The sequence below is a fragment of the Homo sapiens genome, chromosome 11 (genome assembly GCF_000001405.40).
Source record: "Homo sapiens chromosome 11, GRCh38.p14 Primary Assembly".
Classification (NCBI taxonomy): domain Eukaryota; kingdom Metazoa; phylum Chordata; class Mammalia; order Primates; family Hominidae; genus Homo; species Homo sapiens.
In genome coordinates this window covers 43934212-43953650 of record NC_000011.10, presented here as the reverse complement: position 1 = coordinate 43953650, position 19439 = coordinate 43934212, and the positions used below count along the sequence as shown (strand labels likewise).

The following is a 19439-nucleotide window of genomic DNA, read 5'->3' as shown; positions in this document are numbered from 1 at the left end:
AGCATGCTAATGCATTAAAATTAGCATATAATGAACAGTGAGGACACCCAGAGGTCACTTTCATCACCATCTTGGTTTTGGTAGGTTTTGGCCGGCTTTTTACCTCATCCTTTTTTTTTTTTTTTTTTTTGAGTCAGAGTCTCGCTCTGTCACTCAGGCTGGAGTGCAATGGTGTGATCTTGGCTCACTGCAACCTCCGCCTCCTGGGTTCAAGCAATCCTCCTGGCTCAGCCTCCCAAGTAGCTGGGATTACAGGCACCCACCACACGCCTGGCCAATTTTTGTATTTTTAGTAGAGATGGGGTTTCACCATGCTGGTCTCTTTGGCCAGGCTGGTCTCAAACTCCTGACCTCATGATCCATCCACCTTGGCATCCCAAAGTGCTGGGATTACAGGTGTGAGCCACCACACCTGGCATATCTCATCCTTTTATCAGCAAGGTCTGTGTGACCTGCACTTGTGCCAGCCTCCTCTCATCCTGTAACAAAGAATGCCTGATCTCCTGGGAATGCAGCCCAGTAGGTCTCAGCCTTATTTTACCCAGCCTCTGTTCAAGATGGAGTCGCTCTGGTTCAAATGCCTCTGACAGACAGGGATAGGAAAACCACAATAAAAATGTCCATCTGGAAAAGTAAACAATGGAAACACTCAGCAGTCACTGTGCATAGCAACAGGCAGATCCTCCTGGCAGCAACGATGAGGACCTCGCTCTGGCAGAGGAGGTTCCTCAGTTGGCAAATATGGCCAACCCGGTTCTGGGAGATCCTCCTTTTCCCATCATCCTGTGTGGCCACATCTGCAGCAAAGTGACTATTAAATGCTCTGGCCTCTTATCTTAAGTGAGCTTGTAGCAGGACAGGCCGCAAACAAAACCCCTCAGACACCGAGTTAAAGAAGGAAGGGCTTTATTTGGCCGGGAGCTTCAGCAAGACTCATGCCTCCAAAAAGTGAGCTGAGTGAATAATTCCTGTCCCTTTTAAGGGCTTACAACTCTAAGAGGGTCCGCGTGAGAGGGTCATGATCAATTGAGCAAGCAGGCGGTATGTGACTGGGGGCTGCATGCACCAGTAATCAGAATGGAACAGAACAGGACAGGGAGTTTCACAATGCTTTTCCATACAATGTCTGGAATCTATAGATAACATAACTGGTTAGGTCAGGGGACGATATTTAACCAGACCCAGGGTGCAGCACCGGGCTGCCTGCCTGTGGATTTCATTTCTGCCTTTTAGTTTTTACTTCTTTCTTTGGAGGCAGAAATTGGGAATAAGACAATATGAGGGGTGGTCTCCTCCCTTAAGTTGACACGGGAACAGAAAACCAAATACTGCACGTTCTCACTTATAAGCGAGCACTAAACATTGAGTACACATGAACACAAAGAAAGGAACGACAGACACAGGAACCTACTTGAAGGTGGAGGGTGGGAGGAGAGTAAGGATGAAAAAAACTATCCATCAGTACTATGCTGATTATCTGAGTGACTAAATAATCTGTACACCAAACCCCTGAGACACGCAATTTACCCACGTAAGAAACCTGCACATATATCCCCAACCTAAAATAAAAGTTGGAAAGAAAAAAAAAAAAAGATACCTATATAAGATAAATATGTACAATCTACAATGTACTTTTTTTTTTCTTTTTCTGAAGCTGACTGTTACCCTGTTGCCCAGGCTGGAGTGCAGAGGCACGATCTCAGCTCACTATAACCTCTACCTCCAGGATTCAAGTGATTCTCCTGCCTCAGTCTCCCGAGTAGCTGGGATTACAGGCATGCGCCAACATGCCTGGCTAATGTTTGTATTTTTAGTAGAGACAGGGCTTCACCATGTTGGCCAGGCTGGTCTCGAACTCCTGACCTCAAGTGATCCACCTGACTCGGCCTCCCAGGGTGGGATTACAAGCGGGAGCTACTGCATCCAGCCCTACAATGTAATTTAATAACAACCCCTGTTACAGCTTCTACATTACATACTACATATTACGCATTTTTTAAAAAAGATCTGGCCTCTTTGGGGGTTGCTTTGGGGGGTCAAACCATCATAATCATTCATTGCTATTCCTGGTTTTCTTGGCAATCAAATTCCCTCAAATACTTAAAAGGCTTCTGGTCTTTGTGCTTCCGGACAGTTCCAGGTGCCAATAACCACATCCAAAGATGTCTTCTCCCCAGAGGTCTGGAGCCTGCTTTATTACTTTGTTTCCTGCTCTGGCCCAGCTGGCCCATTTTAATTCCCAGCTACCTTGGGGCTATTCTAAAACAATAGATTGGAGTGGGAAGATAACACCATTCATCTAGCCTGGCTCCAGGGCTGGAGCTTTCACTGGGCTCCTTGGGTGGCCTTGGAGAAAGGCTAAGCAACAACAGAACTCCCACTCTTTGGATTATAAAGGCAGGTGGCTTTTGCTTCTGTAAGGCCCCAGGTTTCTAGGTTCTCTCTATGACTTTCTATCTCTCCTGACTTTCTTGGAATAATTTGCTAAAAGCCACAAAGAGCAGCCAATGCATATTAATATTCTAGCTCTTTCCAACCACTTCTTAGTGCTATGGGCTTGGTTGACTCAGGATTGCTTTTCCACAATGTCATAAAAATGGTTTTTACCAGATGCTTTTCCCAGGGATAACAAGGGTCTTCAACTTTCCAAACTACAATATGTGTACCCTTCCTGCATGCAGGAAAATCTCTAAGTCAATGCCTTATGTTTTAGAGTTTTTGTCAAGACAGCACCACACTACCAGGATTGTACTAATTTCTGCTTATTTGTGGTAGGGAAAGGCTGCTAAAGACATCCAACAAGGATTCAGTGGCTCAGAGAATACAGAAGTGTGCACCCTCAGCTGTGATAGTCCAAGGTGATCACTCCTGACTCACAGGCTGTTCGGCTCCACAAGGTCATTCAGGGATCTGGGATCCTTCCATCTTGTTTCTCTGGCATCCCCTAGGCCATTGGGCTTGTGGGCTTGATCATCCCGCTGGGTTGTAGGCACATCCCTGTGCCCCCTTGTGGGAAGGAGAAAGAGAATACCGGTAGGGAGGGACTGGTACACCCACTATCTTAAGACCACACAAGAGAATCTGGGATGTATACATTGGCTGCATGCCCTGGAGGAAGGGAAAAATCAATGTTGGTGAAAAATTAGCACTCTACCACGGGACTGGGAGCTGAATGGCGAGATGGCCTTTATGAGTCAATATGCCTTTGGCATAGACAGACTGAAAGGATGAGAGTCTATGTGGGAGTCCCTCACCCACTTGCCCTTGTGAACCCAAAATATCTCTGAGACAAGTCTCAATCAATTTAGAAAGTTTCCTTTGCCAAGGTTAAGGACATGCCCGTGACACAGCCTTAGGAGGTTCTGACAACATGTGGCCAAGGTGGTCAGGGCACAGGTTGGTTTTATACATTTTAGGGAGATATGAGACATCAATCAATATGTGTAAGATGTACATTGGTTCCATCCAGAATGTGGAACAACTCGAAGGTGGGGGCTTCCGGGTCATAGGTAGATAAGAGACAAATGTTGCATTCTTTTGAGTCCTTGATCAGCCTTTCACTGAATACACAATGTAGTCTGGCTCAGTGAATCTGCATTTTTACATAAACAATAAGGCAGAGGAAAGAATCAGATATGCATTTGTCTCAGTTGAGCAGAGGAATGACTTTCAATGTAAACTATCAGCTCACATTGCCAATCAGCTCACATCAGCTCAATTCAACAGAATTGTTTTAGGGTAAAGATCTTGAGGCCCTTCCTCGAGGGCAAATTGTGAGGGAGGTAAGTATGTTTTGTTGTTGTTGTTGTTGTTGTTGTTGTTTGTTTGTTTTTTTTGAGATGGAGTCTTGCTTTGTCACCCAGGCTGGAGTGCAGTGGTGCGATCTTGGCTCACTGCAACCTCCACCTTCGGGGTTCAAGCAACTCTCCTGTCTCAGCCTCCCAAGTAGCTGGGATTACAGGCGTGTGCCACCATGCCCAGCTAATTTTTGTATTATTAGTAGAGATGGGGTTTCACCATGTTGGCCAGGCTGGTCTCGAACTCCTGACCTCAAGTGATCCACCTGCCTCAGCCTCCCAAAGTCCTGGGATTACAGGCGTGAGCCACCATGCCCGGCCAGTAAGTAACTTTTTAATCTTTGTAGCTATCTGATTTAGAAATAAAATAGAAGGCAGGTTTGCCTGACATAGTTCCCAGCTTGGCTTTCCCTTTGGCTTAGTGACTTTGGGGTCCCAAGATTTCTTTTCCTTTCATACCTTATAGGTACACAGAGGCCACTCTGTGCTTATTCCCCATGCAGAGATGCAGGCCCAGCAGACCGTTGTAACACAGATCTGTTTGGTAAAATTTGCTATCTCCCTGCAGTTCTTCCCAAAATGGTGCCCACCACCCTCCCCTGTGCCAAGAAGGCATGGAAGCACCAGGAAGCTGCTGGGAGTTGGAGGGGGGTGCCAGCCCAGGTTCTCCAGGAAGCAGACACCATGATGGGATGAAATGTGCGAGGATCTGAAAAGGAGTCATGCCTGTGTGCAGTCACACAGAAGGAGCTGGGAAGACTGGGAGGGCCTGCAGGCCACTATGCAAATCTGGCCCTGAGAGTGGTTGTCCATCAATCATGCTGCAGGCTCAAACAGCTTCAGCAGAGCCATTAGGGAATCTCTGAACCAAAGACCACAACAAAGAAATCTCATATCTCCCAAGCACAGTTCTGCCTCAGTATTCCAGCTATGCATATGTTTGCAGGGAGCAGCCCCTAGGGGGGTTCAGCCTCAGTCAAAGAAGGCAATAGATTCAAACCCAGAGCACCTGCTGGTCAGTTACACTCCCTGTAGCAGGAGAGCTGCCAAGCCCAGTCTCATGGCTGTGCCACAGGGGGTTACAGTGAGAAGTAACTCACACCTGTAATCTCATCACTTTGGGAGGCTGAGGTGGGAGGGTTGCTTGAGCCCAGGAGTTCAAGACCAGCCTGTGCCATATAGGGAGACCCCATCTCAACAAAAAATTTAAAAAATAGTCAAGTGTGGTGGTGCATGCCTCTAGTGCTGACTACTCAGGAAGCTGAAGTGGGAGGATCACTTGAGCCTGGGAAGCAGAGGTTGCAGTGAGCCAAGATTGCTCCACTGCGCTCCAGCCTGGGTGACAGAGGGAGATTCTGTCTCAAATAAATAAATAAATAAATAAAGGGTTGCAACCCAGCTCACCCCTGACTATCTGTGTAGCATTGGTCAAGAAAATTAACCCCTCTGAGCTTCAGTTTTCTCACCTGTAAAATGCCTGAGAAACTTTATCAGGATGAAAGTAGAGTGTTGATCGGAGGTGCTCACTGAATGGTGGCCTTTATCCCCTCTGCTATTTTTCCAGAGGCCAAAGGGCCTAAGGCCTACCCCAAATGTGCTTCAGGAGGGAGAGCTGAAGTCCATAGCTGACCTCAATTCCCTGGGCTCATGGGCAGCCCTTCCCTCTAGAGCCCTGCCACACAGTGGGCTGCAAAAGCCAAGATGGCTTTTAAATCAGCAAAAGGAACTCTCTGCTAAACATCTCCCCCAGGGCCAGAGAGAAATGTTTAGCTGGCTGTTGGCCAGAGCTGGGATGGCCACCTATTACCTCTGCCTGGTCTGGGCTCCAGCCTGTTTGAAAACTCATCACCCAGGCTAGGACTGCAGGCTGAAGCCCAGGCAGGGAGGGGAAGGACAGAGGTGACTCCTTGGACAGGCCTATAAATCCAGCCAGCTGGGCAGTCATCCACCCACCCAGCTCATGCCTGCTCCACAGCTCTTTCAGATGCCCGGGCTCCTGTCTTCTCTCTCCTCTGAGCCCCATTATCCAGGAACCCTTCTTCCTATTCTCCTTCCCTCCTTCCTACCCCTGTGGGTCTCTCTCTCTCCCTCTCTCTCTCTCTCTCTCTCTCTCTTTCACTGTCTCAGTGTCTCTCCATCTCCCAGGGGGGCCTTTATCCTTCTGTCTCTCAACATCCAACATCCTCTGGCTCCTGATCCTATTCCCCTGCATCTCTTTCTCTTTCCATTGCCTTCTCTCTGTCACTGAGTTTTCCTGTCTCCCTGAGGGACCTCCTTCCTCTCCACCTCTTTCTGACTCTTGCTCTCTCTTGCTCCTTCATTGTATGTCTTGCCCACTCTTCCCTCCTCTTCTAATATCTGGCCCAGCCCAGCCGGCCCCAGCCTGCCTCTCCTTGGAGCTGCGTGCCACCTTGGAATGCCTGTGAGCACAGGGAGGAGCTGAGCCCCCGCCGTTGCATAGGGGCCTGGTAGGACCTCTGATATGATTTGGATGTTTGTCCCCTCCAAATTTCATGTTGAAATGTGACCCCCAGTGTTGGAGGCGGGGCCTGGTCAGAAGCGTTTGGGTCATAAGGGTGGATCCGTCATGAATGGCTAGTGCCCTCCCCACGGCAATGTGTGAGTTCTCCCTCTGTTGGTTCACGGGAGAGCTGCTTGCTTAAAAGACTCTGGCCTCCCTCTTGCTCCCTCTCTGGCCATGTGACATGCCTGCTCCCCCTCCACCTTCCACCATGAGTGGAAGCTTCTCAAGGCCTCACCAGAAGAAGATGTTGGTGCCATGCTTGTATAGCCTGCAGAACTGTGAGCCAAATAATTCTCTTTCCTTTACAAATTACCTAGCTCAGATATTCCCTTATAGCAACACAGAACGGACTAACACAAGCTCCCTACCCTCCAGTCTGCCCTCCTTCCTCTGTGCAGGGCAGAGATGTTCAGAACCAGAGAGCAACCCCCATGTAGCCCATGGGCCATGGCTTTCCAGGACCAGCCTGATCCCTCTAATACTGCAGCATCCCAAACTCCCTCCCTCTGCCTCTCTGGGACACGGCTTCTATCAGGCTTCTCTCCACATCAACCCTTAGAACTACCCGTTTGTGGGAAAACTAAGAAACTGGGACAAATAAGACATCACTTTTATACTAAATAGTGGGGCATTCACTTAATTAAATATGGAGTATCTATTCAATAGAATTTATGAAAAGCTATGATGTGGATCGATGCATACTGATACTAAATGCAAATCCAATTAATTTAAAAAGCAGGTTGAAAAATAGCATGTAGAATACAAACTCATTTGGTAAAAGAAAATAAACATGCATATATAGGCATCACCTCCAAAATGTTAACTTATTTATCTCTGGGTGGTGGGAATATGACTGACTTGTTTTGTATTATAATAAACAAATATTTCTAGGGCAATAAAAAATTACAAGAATAACTTAAAAAACGAACCAGGGCCAGGCATGGTGGCTCACGCCTGTAATCCCAGCACTTTGGGAAGCCGTGGAGGGCAGGTCACTTGAGGTCAGGAGTTCAAGACCAGCCTGGCCAACATGGTGAAACTTATCTCTACTAAAAATATAAAAGTTAGCTGGGCATGGTGGCTACTACTCACAGGCATGCCTGTGATCTCAGCTACTCGGGAGGCTGAGGCAGGAGAATCGCTTGAACCTGGGAGGCAGAGGTTGCAGTGAACTGAGATCATGTCTCTGCACTCCAGCCTGGGTGACAGAGTGAGACTCCATCTCAAAACAAACAAACAAACAACAACAACAAAACAGAAGCAGGCAAGATAGGAATGGATTTTCCTCAGCACCTCTTTATTCATTTCAACCCAAACATTTCAGAAGCACCTACTCAGTGCTGGGCCTGCCCACAGCTGAGCAGGGAATATGGTCCCCTCAATAACCTCTGTTGTTGGCTGGGGTAACCCAAGGAGACCCTTCAGGTAGGGGCTGAAGGCAGCAGGAGGTTCTTTTTGTTTGTTTGTTGTTTCTGTTTTTTCAGACAGGGTCTCACTCTGTCACCCACACTGGAGTGCAGTGCCGCAATTACTGCTCACTGCAGCCTCCACCTCCCTGGGCTCAGGTGATCCTCTCCCCTCAGCCTCCTGAATAGCTGGGAACACAGGTGTGCACCACCACGTCCGGCTAATTTTTTTTTTTTTTTTTTGTAGAGATAGGATTTCACCATGTTGCCCAGGCTGGTCTCGAACTCCTGGGCTCAAGCGATCTGCCCACCTAGGCCTCCCAAAGTACTGGGATTACAGGCGTGAACCACTGCCCGGCTGAGAAGGAGGTTCTTCCGCGAGAGAAGGCTATGCAGAGGGGAGGATCTCAGGCCTGAAGGGTCTAGAAGCCCACTGGAAGGTCTTCCAGACACTTGGGACATCTAGCTCCTGAAGAGTAGAAAGAGGAGCTGCTGCCGAAGAGGTAAGACAGAGAGAGGGGCACAGGATGTGGAGTCCGCCCCTCTGTCCTCAGGGAGTTTCTTTGGAGAGAGAAGAGAATGAGGCTGGGCTCAGAGGAAGTTCCTCCCACTCCGTGGAGCTCAAACTAGTCCAGTGGTGGCAGCTGCCCTGGCTGGAATAAAGCATCGACCCACAGTGGCCTCACATCTCTGAGGCCTTTGCAGGTTAAGAGTCTCCTGCCATGATACCCCACCACAGTGGAACCCGTTGTTGGGCCAGCGTGTTCTCAGGGACTGGGACACGGGCCAAATACTACAGCCACCAAGGCCATAGCCTGTGCTCTCTCTGAGCCGAGGGAAGAACACCCTCTCCGGCCCTGTAGTTCCATTTTTGTTTCTTTGTTTCGTTTCCTCTGCTGTCTTCTCCAGAGCTCTGCGCTGCAGCTGAGAGACTGGGTATCTCCTAGAGATTCCTGACCCCCACGCACCAGCCCCACCACCAGAGGGCGCCCGAGCACAGAGACGCCGCAACCGGAGCAGGAGCCCTAAACCTGTCAGGGTGGGTCAGCCCTGGAGTAATCCTGGAGGGAGGGTCTGGGAGAGGGCCCCAGTGTGGGGACCTGCCCGGCTCAACCAAATGTAGTTTGTTACCTTGGTGGCCATCTGCAGCCAGGTGGCCCTGCCACACTGCTAAACCAGAGGATTTAGGAAGCAGACAGGGATTCGGGAAGTGGCTGAAGAGCACTGGAAAGACAAACTCCTGCGGTGCAAGAGTCCTGGACCAGGAGTGCGGAGAACTGGGGGCGCTCCTCTCCCTGTTACCCTAGGCTTGTTTTCTCATATGTAAACAAAGGCAGGGGCGGGGAGAAGGGAAGGACTCGATGGTACCCAGGTGCCCTTCAGGCTCTAACCAAAGACATGCCCCACCCTCCTGGAGGAACCCTGCGGAGCGCAGAGAACGGCTGGAGACATAGCGGCCGCGGTTTTCCCCGCAGCGCAGGAGCGCCAGGCACTGCGCTGGGTCAACTGCGGTCAGGGAGTCACCTGCCCGCGACAGCGAGCGCGCACCCACACTCTCGACCAACCCAGGCTGGCCTCCAGCCCACTCTCGGGTCCCAACGCCCAAACATCTCGCATTGCTGGCTCCGACATCTCCCCACCCGCCGCCAGGAATCAGCGCAGAGGGAGATGCGTCTTCTGTGGCGGGTGCGGGGCGAGGACCCTGACCCCAGCTCTGGGAAGTGAACTGTACGGAGGAGAGAGCTCTCCATCGTCAGCTCTGCCTCCGCCCCTCCTGCGGCTTCACTTCAGCCCGGATGCCGGCGATGGGGAATAGACCAGGGACGCAGGAGCACACTGGACCGGGGGTGGATCCACTTGGGGAGGCAGGCAACCGACCCGCGCACCGGTGGCGCAACCTCGTTCCGGTGACCGAAGCTTGTGGAGGTAGCTCCACTCCCGGCTCCCTGGTCCGACATCCCCCTGCCACCTCCTCCCCCACCTCCCCGAGTCTTGGGAGCCTGGACCCCGAAGGTGCAAAAAGTCAAGAGCCTGGAAAACTGCACTGTGCAAATATATTGACTTTATTTGTCTCCTTTCAGGAGCCTCACAGACATATCCAGGTAAAAAGATCGTTAAATAAATGCCTTCAGCCATCGCAATGCAAAAATAAATATCAATCCTCCAGACGCAGTAGCAGCCGCGCTGCGCCCAAAGTCCCAACGGCCACGCCTAACAATTATAAAAGTGTTCAGCGAGAGTGTTGGCGTGAGTGTGAATGGGTGTGCGCTGGGGGGCACGGTGGAGCGGTGTGCAAAATCGGAGTTGCAAACCATCGGACAAGGGCATGGAGTGGCTACCCGCCGCCGACTCAGCGCGGGCGCGCCTCCCCGCACACACTCACAGCAGAGTTCGCACTGGGAAGAGTTAAAAAATAAACATTTACAAGGACGAGGAAAGCGGCCCCGCTCCCGGCGCTCCCGGGCCAGGGCGAGCGCGGCGAGGGGCGCACCGACCGGTTCGCAGCGGGGCGGGAGTCCGAGCGCGCGAGGAGCGGCGGTCCCGGGTCCTTGCGGGTCCCCCGGGAGCAGGGCGCGGGCACTCTCGGGGTTCACACGCCGGTCCCCGCGCGGACCGCGGACGCGCGCGTCCCCCCCGCGGGCGGCGCCCCTTACAGGGCCGAGTCGGAGTCGCTGGAGTCCAGGCTGTTCCTCAGTTTGCAGCTGCTGAGCTGCTCCCGCTGCAGCGACAGGCTCTGCGTGCTGCGGCGCAGGCACTCCAGGCTCTGCAGGAACGACTTCTTGGCCTTCTCCTCCTCCATGGGGGACACCCCCTCCTCCTCCACCTCCTGGATCTCGTCGAAGGTCACCGGCTGCGTCTTGAAGCGAGACTGGCGCGGCCGCCGCAGCCGGCCCCGGCCCTTGGGCAGCTTGGCGGGCCGCACGGGCTGCGGGAACTCGTCGGCCAGGCACACGAAGTGCGGCATCACCGCCTGGTAACTGGAGCAGATGCCCATCAGCTCGCCGGGCTTGGCGGCCATGGCGCCTCCGGCGTCTGCGGGGCCGGGCGGCGGGGCGCCGGGGCTCTCCGAGGGCGGCCGCTGCGCCGGGGCCCCCCGGGAGGCAGCAGCCGGGGGCTCGCCGGGCGGGGGATCCAAATCTGCTGCGGGGTGGCGGCGGCCCTCGCGGGCCCGGGCCGGCGCTCCTCGGGAGGGCGGGCGGGCGGGCGGACCCGTCGGGGGGCACGGGGCTCGGGGGGCGCTGTTCCGCCGCGCTCCGAGGCGCTCGCCGCCGCTGCTGTCGCCGTCTGCCCCGCGGCGGCCAGGCTCGCGGCTTATATAGCCCGCGGCTGCCCACACGGCTCTGAGCTCGGATGACAGCGAATGCCATTTAAAGCGTGCGCGCCCCGCGCCCTTCCGCCTGACGTCGCCCCGCCGCTCTGGGAAAGTAACGGCCCCTTCCCCGGCGCCGCCCGCCCCCCGCCAACCGGCTCCGGAAGGCAGGCCCCGCCCGCGGGGGTTCCGGGAGAAGCCGCGGCCCCGGAGCACGCGGCTGGCCCGAGCTGCGCCCGGACAGGGACCCTCAATCGCCGCGACTGGGCGGGCACTGTCCCTTCTGGGATCCCCAAGTCTGCACCAACCGGGTTGGCCGCGGGGCCGCAGGTCCCCCTCCCCCGCCCCCTGGTCCCAGATGCACACACTTGAGGCGCTGGTTATTCCACCGCCGGTTCTGCGCGGGGCGCGAGGCAGCTCTCAGCTCTCTTTGCAGCCTGGCGAGCCTGAGCGCCCGGCTCCCCAGAGCTGAGCTCGGAAGAAGGGGTGGGCTCCCCTTCTGGATCCTTGCCACCCCCCTCCGCAGGCGCGCGCGCGCACACACACACACACACACACACACACACACACACACACACGCACGAATGCAAACACATCTCGATTATTCCATTCCGGTTCTTCCCTTCCCTAGATGTCTTCTTTATGTTTGTCTCCTCACTCCCCCACCCAAGTCCCTCGGGCACCCCCATTCATGCTCTGAAGAGTGACACTTGGATATGGCACTAACAACAACAACAACAATAATAGCTACCATCTGGAGAGCTTTACTCCAAGCCAACCATGAGCTCTGTTTTACGTATATTATCCTGTTTAATCTTCACAGCAGCAGCCCTATGAGGTAATTGGTATTCTCTCATTTTTACATATGGGAAAACCAGGCACAGAGGGGATAAGTAACTGGTCCACTAGTATCTGATGGAAACAGATGGGCTGACTCCAGAGTCCATGCTCTGACAGCCCCCTGCTGAGGGTGAGTACCCTGAGCTAAATCTCACCAGTGTTCCCAAGGTCTCTAAGAGCAGGTCCACAGGGCAGTCCCTGCCCTATGTCCTGGGACTCCCAAGAGGAAACTGTGAGCCTGGCCATGGCCAAGTGGGCTTGAGATGTGGGGCACTGACAGGCACCCAGCAGGGCTCACAGGGCCACCCAAAAAGGAGGGGGTCAGTGGGATTTGGCCTCCGTCCTTTCCGTATCCACTCAACACAGATTTACTGAGAAGTTACTTTCCTGCTCAGGAAAGGCATGGAAGCCAACAAGAAAGGTACAGTCCTGGCCCTCATGAAAGTTACATTCTAATGGGAGTGGGGTGTTGTGGGGAGAGACAGATGATACACACACGAAGAAGAACATGTTTTGTGGTGAAATAAAGTAGGGCGATGAGCTGGGGATGCAGGTGGTGAGATGCTTAGAGCACGGGACCAGGAAAGGCTGCTCAGAGCCTGGATATTTAAGCTGCCACCAGAAGGGCAATAATAACATGCTAAGTGCTTAGTATGGCCATGCTCTGCACACTTTTGATGCGTGAACTCAATGTGTTCACTATATTATTTAATCCTCCCAACCACCCTGGGTAACAAATACCATACATTTCTTATCGCCATTTACAGGTAGAAAAGTCAAGGCACAGAGAAGCTAAGAAAACTTGCCCCAAGGTCCCACAGCAGGAAGTAGCAAGAGCTGAGATTCAAACCCCAGCAGCGTGGCTCCTGAGCCACTACACTGCAGCGGTTTGCCCTGCAATGGACAAAGATGGAACCAGTCATGTGACAAGGTGGGAAGAGAGTGTCTGGGCAGAGGGAGTCTTAGTGCAAAGACGCTAAGGCAAGAATACACTTGGTGTATTCGAAGAACAAACAGCAAGGAGGCTTGTTGGCTAAAGCAGAGTGAGAGAGGGGGATGGGAAGGGGGGACAATCACTTGAGGCCTTAGTGGCAGGTTACAAAGTTAGAATTTCAGCCGGGTGCGGTGGCTCACGCCTGTAATCCCAGCACTTTGGGAGGCTTAGGCGGACGGATCACAAGGTCAGGAGATCGAGACCATCCTGGCTAACACGGTGAAACCCCGTCTCTACTAAAAATTAAAAAAAAAAAGTTAGCTAGGCGTGGCAGCGGGTGCCTGTAGTCCCAGCTACTCGAGAGGCTGAGGCAGGAGAATGGTGTGAACCCGGGAGGTGGAGCTTGCAGTGAGCCGAGATTGCGCCACTGCACACCAGCCTGGGCAATGGAGCAAGACTCCGTCTCAAAAAAAAAAAAAAAGATATAATTTCATTCTAAGGGCAACAGTAAGGCATCTTAATGCATGCTCCAATTTATGTTTTTCAAAACTCATTCTGGAGGCCAGGCACGGTGGCTCACACCCGTAATCCCAACACTTTGGGAAGCCAAGGTGAGAGGATCACTTAAGCTCAGGAGTTGGAGACCAGCCTGGGTAACATAGTGAGACCCAGTCTCTATACAGTAATAATAATAATAACAATAATAATAATACTCACTCTGGCTGTTGTGTGGAGAGGAGCTGGGAAAGAAGCAAGAAGCTCTCTTGGAAGAATATTATGTGACCTCACAACACTGAAGGCTTGGATTAGGGTAGAGGCAATGGAGATGTAGGAAATGGTCACATTTGGGATTTCCCTGAAGACAGAACTGAGAGAACTTGCTGATAGATTAGATGGGAGCTGTGGGTCAGGGAGGGATCAAGGTTGACCTCTGTCCAGGCACGGTGGCTCATGCCTGTAATCCCAGAACTTTGGGAGGCCAAGGCGGATGGATCACTTGAGGTCAGGAGTTCAAGACTAGCCTGGGCAACATGGTGAAACCCAGTCTCTGCTAAAAATACAAAAATTAGCCAGGTGTGGTGGCAGGTGCCTGTAATCCCAGCTACCCAGGCTGAAGCATGAGAATCGTTTGAACCTGGGAGGCAGAGGTGGCAGTGAACCAAGATTTCGACACTGCCTTCCAGCCTGGGTGACAGAGTGAAACCCTGTCTCAAAAAATAAAAAATAAGTTGACTTCTGTGTATTTTCTTGAGCAAGTGTGTGATGGTGGTGCCATTGACACACAGGCAAATGTGTTGGAGAAGAGAAGGGTGGGGAGGGGGGGCCGTTGTGGAGTCTGCTGGCTGCTTATTAAAACCCACCATCCACCTGAATGAGGCCTGAAATGCTCACATCAGAACTGTATTATGTGAGAGAAAAAGCAATTTCTATAACCTTAAAACCACTGTACTTTGTAGCTCCTTATAGAAATTTATACCAGGAGTGGGAAACTGCCATGTATAAAACCCCTCAAATATGTGGCATTGGCTTAGCCAATAGGTGGTGAGCAAGATGGAAACATATTAGAGGATGAGAAGCTGGTGAACCTTGTTATGCTGGGACAAAATATTTATTGCAAATGTCACCTGTGATCATTTGGAAGACAGCCCACATGCCTATTGAGCCTATAATTCTAGAAAAATGGTTGGAAAGAGCTGAAGCCATTTGCATGTGTTGGCTGCTTGATGTTGCTTTTAGCAAAATATTACAAGAAAGAGATTGGCCAGTTTGCAAGAAGAGATACACAGAAATACAGAGAATTCAGAAAACTGGTGTCCTCAGCATTGAAAAAGCCAACTGGTTTTGTCCAAGGAGCAGGAAGTCAGACTATCGTGGCTCAGAGCCTCTCTCAAAGCCTGTCTCTTAGGCCAAACTTTAAACCAAACAAAGAAATCGCCCCTGTGGCAAAGTATTATATTAAGGGTATTACATCTAAGTCTGTTATTTAGGATGTCCTTAGGATAGCCTTCATTTTATTTATTATTTATTTATTTACTTTGAGATGGAGTCTTGCTCTGTTTTCCAGGCTGGTGTGTAGTGGTGCAATCTCGGTTCACTGCACCTCTGCCTCCCGGGTTTAAGCAATTCTTCCACCTCAGCCTCCCGAGTAGCTGGGATTACAGGCGTGCACCACCACACCCTGCTAATTTTTGTATTTTTGTAGAGACAGGGTTTCACCCTGTTGGCCAGGCTGGTCTCAAACTCCTGACCTCAGGTGATCCACCTGCCTCAGCCTCCCAAAGTGCTGGGATTACAGGCGTGAGTCACTGCACGCAGCCACTTTCATTTTAAATGAATGGGAAACAGAAGGGTATGGAAGATAGACTTCATAACTCTGTCAAGAAAGGAACTTTGGATGTGGTCACGGCTCAAGGAACTGACTAAAGATGAAGCCTACTATGTTTCTGAAGGAATTGTTATCACCAACAAAATTGCAAGGCTGGACTGCAAAAGCCCATGATTGCTCAAGCCCGAGTCAGCATCTAAGGAGGGTAGACTCTCAACACCCTGTCGGTGGTTGTGGAGAATGACAGGCAAGCAATGTTGAAGGGCAAAGCCAAGGTCAGGGAGACACAGAATAAGGGGTCACCCCCCCAGAGAACCTCCTCCGCTGCCAGGGCAGGCAAGTCCTCACTGTTCTCGAGGACAGACTGTGACAGAGATGGCTAGCTATCCACCCAGCTGTGGCATGACCCAACTCTCCTTGCAGCTAGGAGGCCATGTGTCTAAACTCTCATCTGTGGAATGTGAGAAGTATGCTCAACTTCTGCCTCACTCGATTAAGAAGAAATTCCTGCCCTAGACTTCTGTGTTTTTCCCCTCACGCTGGCCAGAAGAGCAATAACCAGAGAGATTCTGGAACTCTCACGTTAAAGATAGCAGCACCATCATTAGTCCGAGTCCCTAAATGACCACGTGGAGCTGAGCTATCCACCAACCTGAAGCACTTCCCCTGTAACGATTACAGGAGTGAACAATCAACTGAATCTTTTTAAACTACTCTAACTTGGGGTCTCTATTATATGGACTTAGCATTGTTCTAAGAGACCCTTCGACATCCAGGTGGAGATGTCAAGCAGGCCACTGAAGCTAGGGGAGAGGTGAGGGGTGGAGGTGGCAGTTTTGGAGGGGGCGGGGTGGAGGCCCACATTCCAGAGGAGGGCTGGAACAGTCCAGCACTGGAAAGAGGATGAGTCAGCCAAGGACTCAGAGAAGCAGTGTTCAACAGGGTAGGAGGAAAACAGGAAGACATGTCAGAATCCAAGAGAAGGATGTTTCTAGGAGCAGGGAGACCACTCGAAGGGAGTCTAGAGACGTGTGCTAGTCTGGCTTCCCCAGAACTTACTGTGTGAGCTTGGACAAGCCACTTGACTGTCTGCCCTGCAGAGTTCTCAGCTCAGATGTTACCTCCTTGAAGAAGCCTCGCCTAGCCACCCTACTGACGGCTGCCCCTCAGTCTCTCTGTCCCCCTTTCTTTCATGGCATGTTTGTCATTATCTAAAGGGTCTTCTTGTCTGTTGACACTGTACTGTCCGCCTTCCCCACTAGGTGGTCATTGTTGGCCACTGCCTTTCCAGCACCCAGCACAGAGCTGGCATGCAGAGGTCCCTGTGGCATGGACTGCTACCACATGTGCCCTGCTTCCACGGCTCCTGACAGGCCAGCCAAGGGGCTACACTGTCTCCAACACACACAGCTCCTCTGGACCCCAAATTCTGAGGCTGGGGACTAGGGTACCCTAAGTCAACTCCCTCCACTCCCCTGGATGGGAGGTTCCCCATCCTGGCCCAGGGCAGTGAAAATAAGAAAGAGGGTGCGTGCTTCATAGCAGAGGTCCCAAAGTAGCAATAAGATCATCCCCTCCTGGGTCTTGGGCCCTGCTCACTGAGGGCCTCTTAGAAGAGGGCAGGAGGGGGGGGTGGGGAAATTGAACCTCCCATGGAGGACCGAGCTCCCATACTGCCTAGATCCCCGGGGCTTACCACCCACCCTCCCCAGCCATGACTCCCCCACCTCAGGATGTCCCTAGGGCCAGGACCACTCCTCCCCGCCGTTGCCTTTTTATGCCTTCTCTGCCCTTCCCTGCCCAAGGAGCCAGCCAAAGGCCACCATCAGGTAAGGAGAACACAGACCTAGATTCTAACCTAAGTGCCGCCATGGACTCATTCTGTGACCTTGGTGGGCCTTCCGCACCTGGAAAGCAGAAGCAATGCCCCTGGGTGCCAGTGTGTAGAAGCAATGCCCCTGGGTGCCAGTGTGTAGAAGCAATGCCCCTGGGTGCCAGTGTGTAGAAGCAATGCCCCTGGGTGCCAGTGTGTAGAAGCAATGCCCCTGGGTGCCAGTGTGTAGGAAAGCGCCTAGCACAGTACCCGGCATGTTGTAAGCATAAAATAAAAGTTCCTTTTGCTTTTATGATCTCCTCCTCAAACCTACCCAGCCCCCAACTTGGTTGAGAAGATATCAGGGAAAGGTTCCAAGAAATTCCTGCTTCAGAGGGCATTTGGGGGTTTTGGTGGCTTATACCCTCCTGCCTGACTCACAATTTAAAAGAGGAAGCCAGCCCGAGCAACGCTGCACTCTAATCATATCTCCAAGGGTGGAGTTCCACACAGCAGAAGTGAACCAGGTTGGGGTGTTGTTACTGCTGATGCCCAAACGTGGCCCTCGGGGACCTTGGCGGATATCAACACCTCTTTCAACATTTTTCTTTCCTCCAAAGGCCTGACAGCCAAGATGCAAAGGGTGGGCAGGCCTGGGGGGATTAGGTACTGGGGACCTGCCCAGCATCGGGGGTCCTGCTTCCTCTTGCCCTCTGGGACTTGCTGGGTTTGCAGGGGCTCAGAGCTGTGGGAGGGGTCAGTGTGGGCTTTTCCAGGACAGGCTACATGGCCTCACCCAGCCACCCCGGGACAGGGGTCGGCCCTTAAAAGGGATGTAGGACAGTCCCTCTTCTCAGCAGGTCTGTAGCTCTGGGGCTACAGAGGAAGGACACAGAAATGTCATTTGTTGCTGGGCATGGTGGCGCATGTCTGCAGTCCCAGTTACTCAGGAGTCTGAGGCTAGAGGATCACTTGAGCCCGGGAGTTTCCGGCCAGCCTGAGCAACATAGTAACATAGTGAGACCACATCTCTAAAAAAAATAAAAAATAAAAATAAAAGTCATCTGTCGAACACTCACTCTGTGTCTGGCCTTTTGCCAACTGTGCTTTGCACGTGCACATCCCACCTCATTAAAGTTGTCCTCACTGTGTCCTTCCAGAGGGACCCAAGCATCACCCCACTTTACAGCTGAGGACTCAGGGGGCTGGGGGGCTGATCAGGGCTACACTAAGTGCTGAGCACTGAAGCCAGCATTCAAGGCCAGGCCTGCCTGCCTCTGAAATTGGTGCTCACTGCTTGCACCACCCCATCCTATGGTCTCTCTGGTGCAATGAGAACAGCACTGGCCTGGAATCCAGAAGCCTGGTTGCAGGTTGGTTGTTTGGGTCGATCTACACTTTGGGTGTGTTTGGCCCAGCCACCGCTTGTACATGTGTGTATGCGTGTGTGTGCGTGTACACACTCTGTGGCCTTGAACCATTGCTTCCAATCTCTGAGCCACGGTTCCCCCATCCGGGAAGCAAGGAGGCCAGACTCTGATTCGCCGGGGGTCCCTCTTGCTCTAACATCCTAGAATCCTCTGGAGGATGAGGGGACCCATTCACAGGAGTAGATGCCTCCCCTTCAGCCAGAGCAGCCTGTGCCGGGGCTGCAGGGGAAGGCTGGCTTCCATGGAGGGGTGTCCTGGGGAAGCAGATGGGGTGGGGAGATGGAAGCAGAGAGGGGAGGGCCTTGTGCACCACCTCCCCCATCGTCCCTACCCACACTTTGGCTTCTGGGCAGAGCTGGGATTTTAAAAAAGCAACCACCAGTTCTTCAGCCATTAGCAGGGCTTTGTTTCCAAGGCAGCCTATGGTAACCTGGGCGTGAGTCACAGGGGAGCAGGGATGCAGTGTGTCCCAGGATGCACATCAAGGTGGGAAGAACCAGGTTGGGGCAGAACGTTCACAGGTCCTCCTCTGCTTTTCCCTGGGGGGTAGGCAGGAAGGTCAGGCCCCTTCCCACAGCTGCTGTTGCCCTAGCTCAGACCCGGTGCCAGCTAGATGCACTGGGCAACTGGCCATCCCCCGCCTCACCCAGAACTCTCCCTAGAGTGGGTCTCAGAGTTCCAAGCACTGAATGAGGTGATGATTATTCCAGGTGGTACTGTTTGGGTCCATCTACACTTTGGGTGTGTTTGGCCCAGCCACCGCTTGTACGTGTGTGTGTGCGCATGTGTGTGCGCGTGTGTGTGTGGAATGCAAATGTGAATGTGGCATAAGGGGTGGGGACAGGAAAGCAACACACACAACATCTCTAGCAGGCGAGAGACTGAGTCTTTTTCGGGTGGTCCTGCCCCCTGTCCCGGCCCTCACCTCCCACTGGTGCGCACTCCACCCCCAGGGGGCCCTCCACACAAAGCCTGTGACTTCAGCATTTAACCAACTGCTTCAGCCTTACTCAGAATTAGCACTTCGTCTGGTACGACTGGGAGCATAAAAGTGTTTCG

At 52.5% G+C, this 19439-nt stretch overlaps 2 protein-coding genes across 2 annotated transcripts in view, besides 5 other annotated features; both read right to left on the bottom strand.

Annotated features, from left to right (window-relative positions):
- Nucleotides 1–19439, bottom strand: part of ACCSL (1-aminocyclopropane-1-carboxylate synthase homolog (inactive) like) — a 138910-nt gene that overhangs the window by 106327 nt on the left and 13144 nt on the right. The window lies entirely within an intron of this gene.
- Nucleotides 6219–6719: an enhancer, noted in NCBI's record as "H3K4me1 hESC enhancer chr11:43968482-43968982 (GRCh37/hg19 assembly coordinates)". NCBI's record gives its function as "activates a minimal SCP1, AML or CMV promoter by ChIP-STARR-seq in primed H9 embryonic stem cells {active_cell/tissue: H9 hESC(primed)}" and the evidence as "EXISTENCE:reporter gene assay evidence [ECO:0000049][PMID:30033119]".
- Nucleotides 8729–9557: an enhancer, noted in NCBI's record as "H3K4me1 hESC enhancer chr11:43965644-43966472 (GRCh37/hg19 assembly coordinates)". NCBI's record gives its function as "activates a minimal SCP1, AML or CMV promoter by ChIP-STARR-seq in naive H9 embryonic stem cells {active_cell/tissue: H9 hESC(naive)}" and the evidence as "EXISTENCE:reporter gene assay evidence [ECO:0000049][PMID:30033119]".
- Nucleotides 9558–10387: an enhancer, noted in NCBI's record as "H3K4me1 hESC enhancer chr11:43964814-43965643 (GRCh37/hg19 assembly coordinates)". NCBI's record gives its function as "activates a minimal SCP1, AML or CMV promoter by ChIP-STARR-seq in naive H9 embryonic stem cells {active_cell/tissue: H9 hESC(naive)}" and the evidence as "EXISTENCE:reporter gene assay evidence [ECO:0000049][PMID:30033119]".
- Nucleotides 9773–11014, bottom strand: C11orf96 (chromosome 11 open reading frame 96). Its single transcript, NM_001145033.2, has one exon. It carries the CDS (start codon nt 10744–10746, stop codon nt 10378–10380), a length of 369 nt encoding a protein of 122 aa, NP_001138505.1. The 5' UTR covers nt 10747–11014; the 3' UTR covers nt 9773–10377.
- Nucleotides 11127–11256: a silencer, noted in NCBI's record as "silent region_3271". NCBI's record gives its function as "represses an Ori minimal core promoter by ATAC-STARR-seq in GM12878 lymphoblastoid cells {active_cell/tissue: GM12878}" and the evidence as "EXISTENCE:reporter gene assay evidence [ECO:0000049][PMID:35858748]".
- Nucleotides 11297–11426: a silencer, noted in NCBI's record as "silent region_3270". NCBI's record gives its function as "represses an Ori minimal core promoter by ATAC-STARR-seq in GM12878 lymphoblastoid cells {active_cell/tissue: GM12878}" and the evidence as "EXISTENCE:reporter gene assay evidence [ECO:0000049][PMID:35858748]".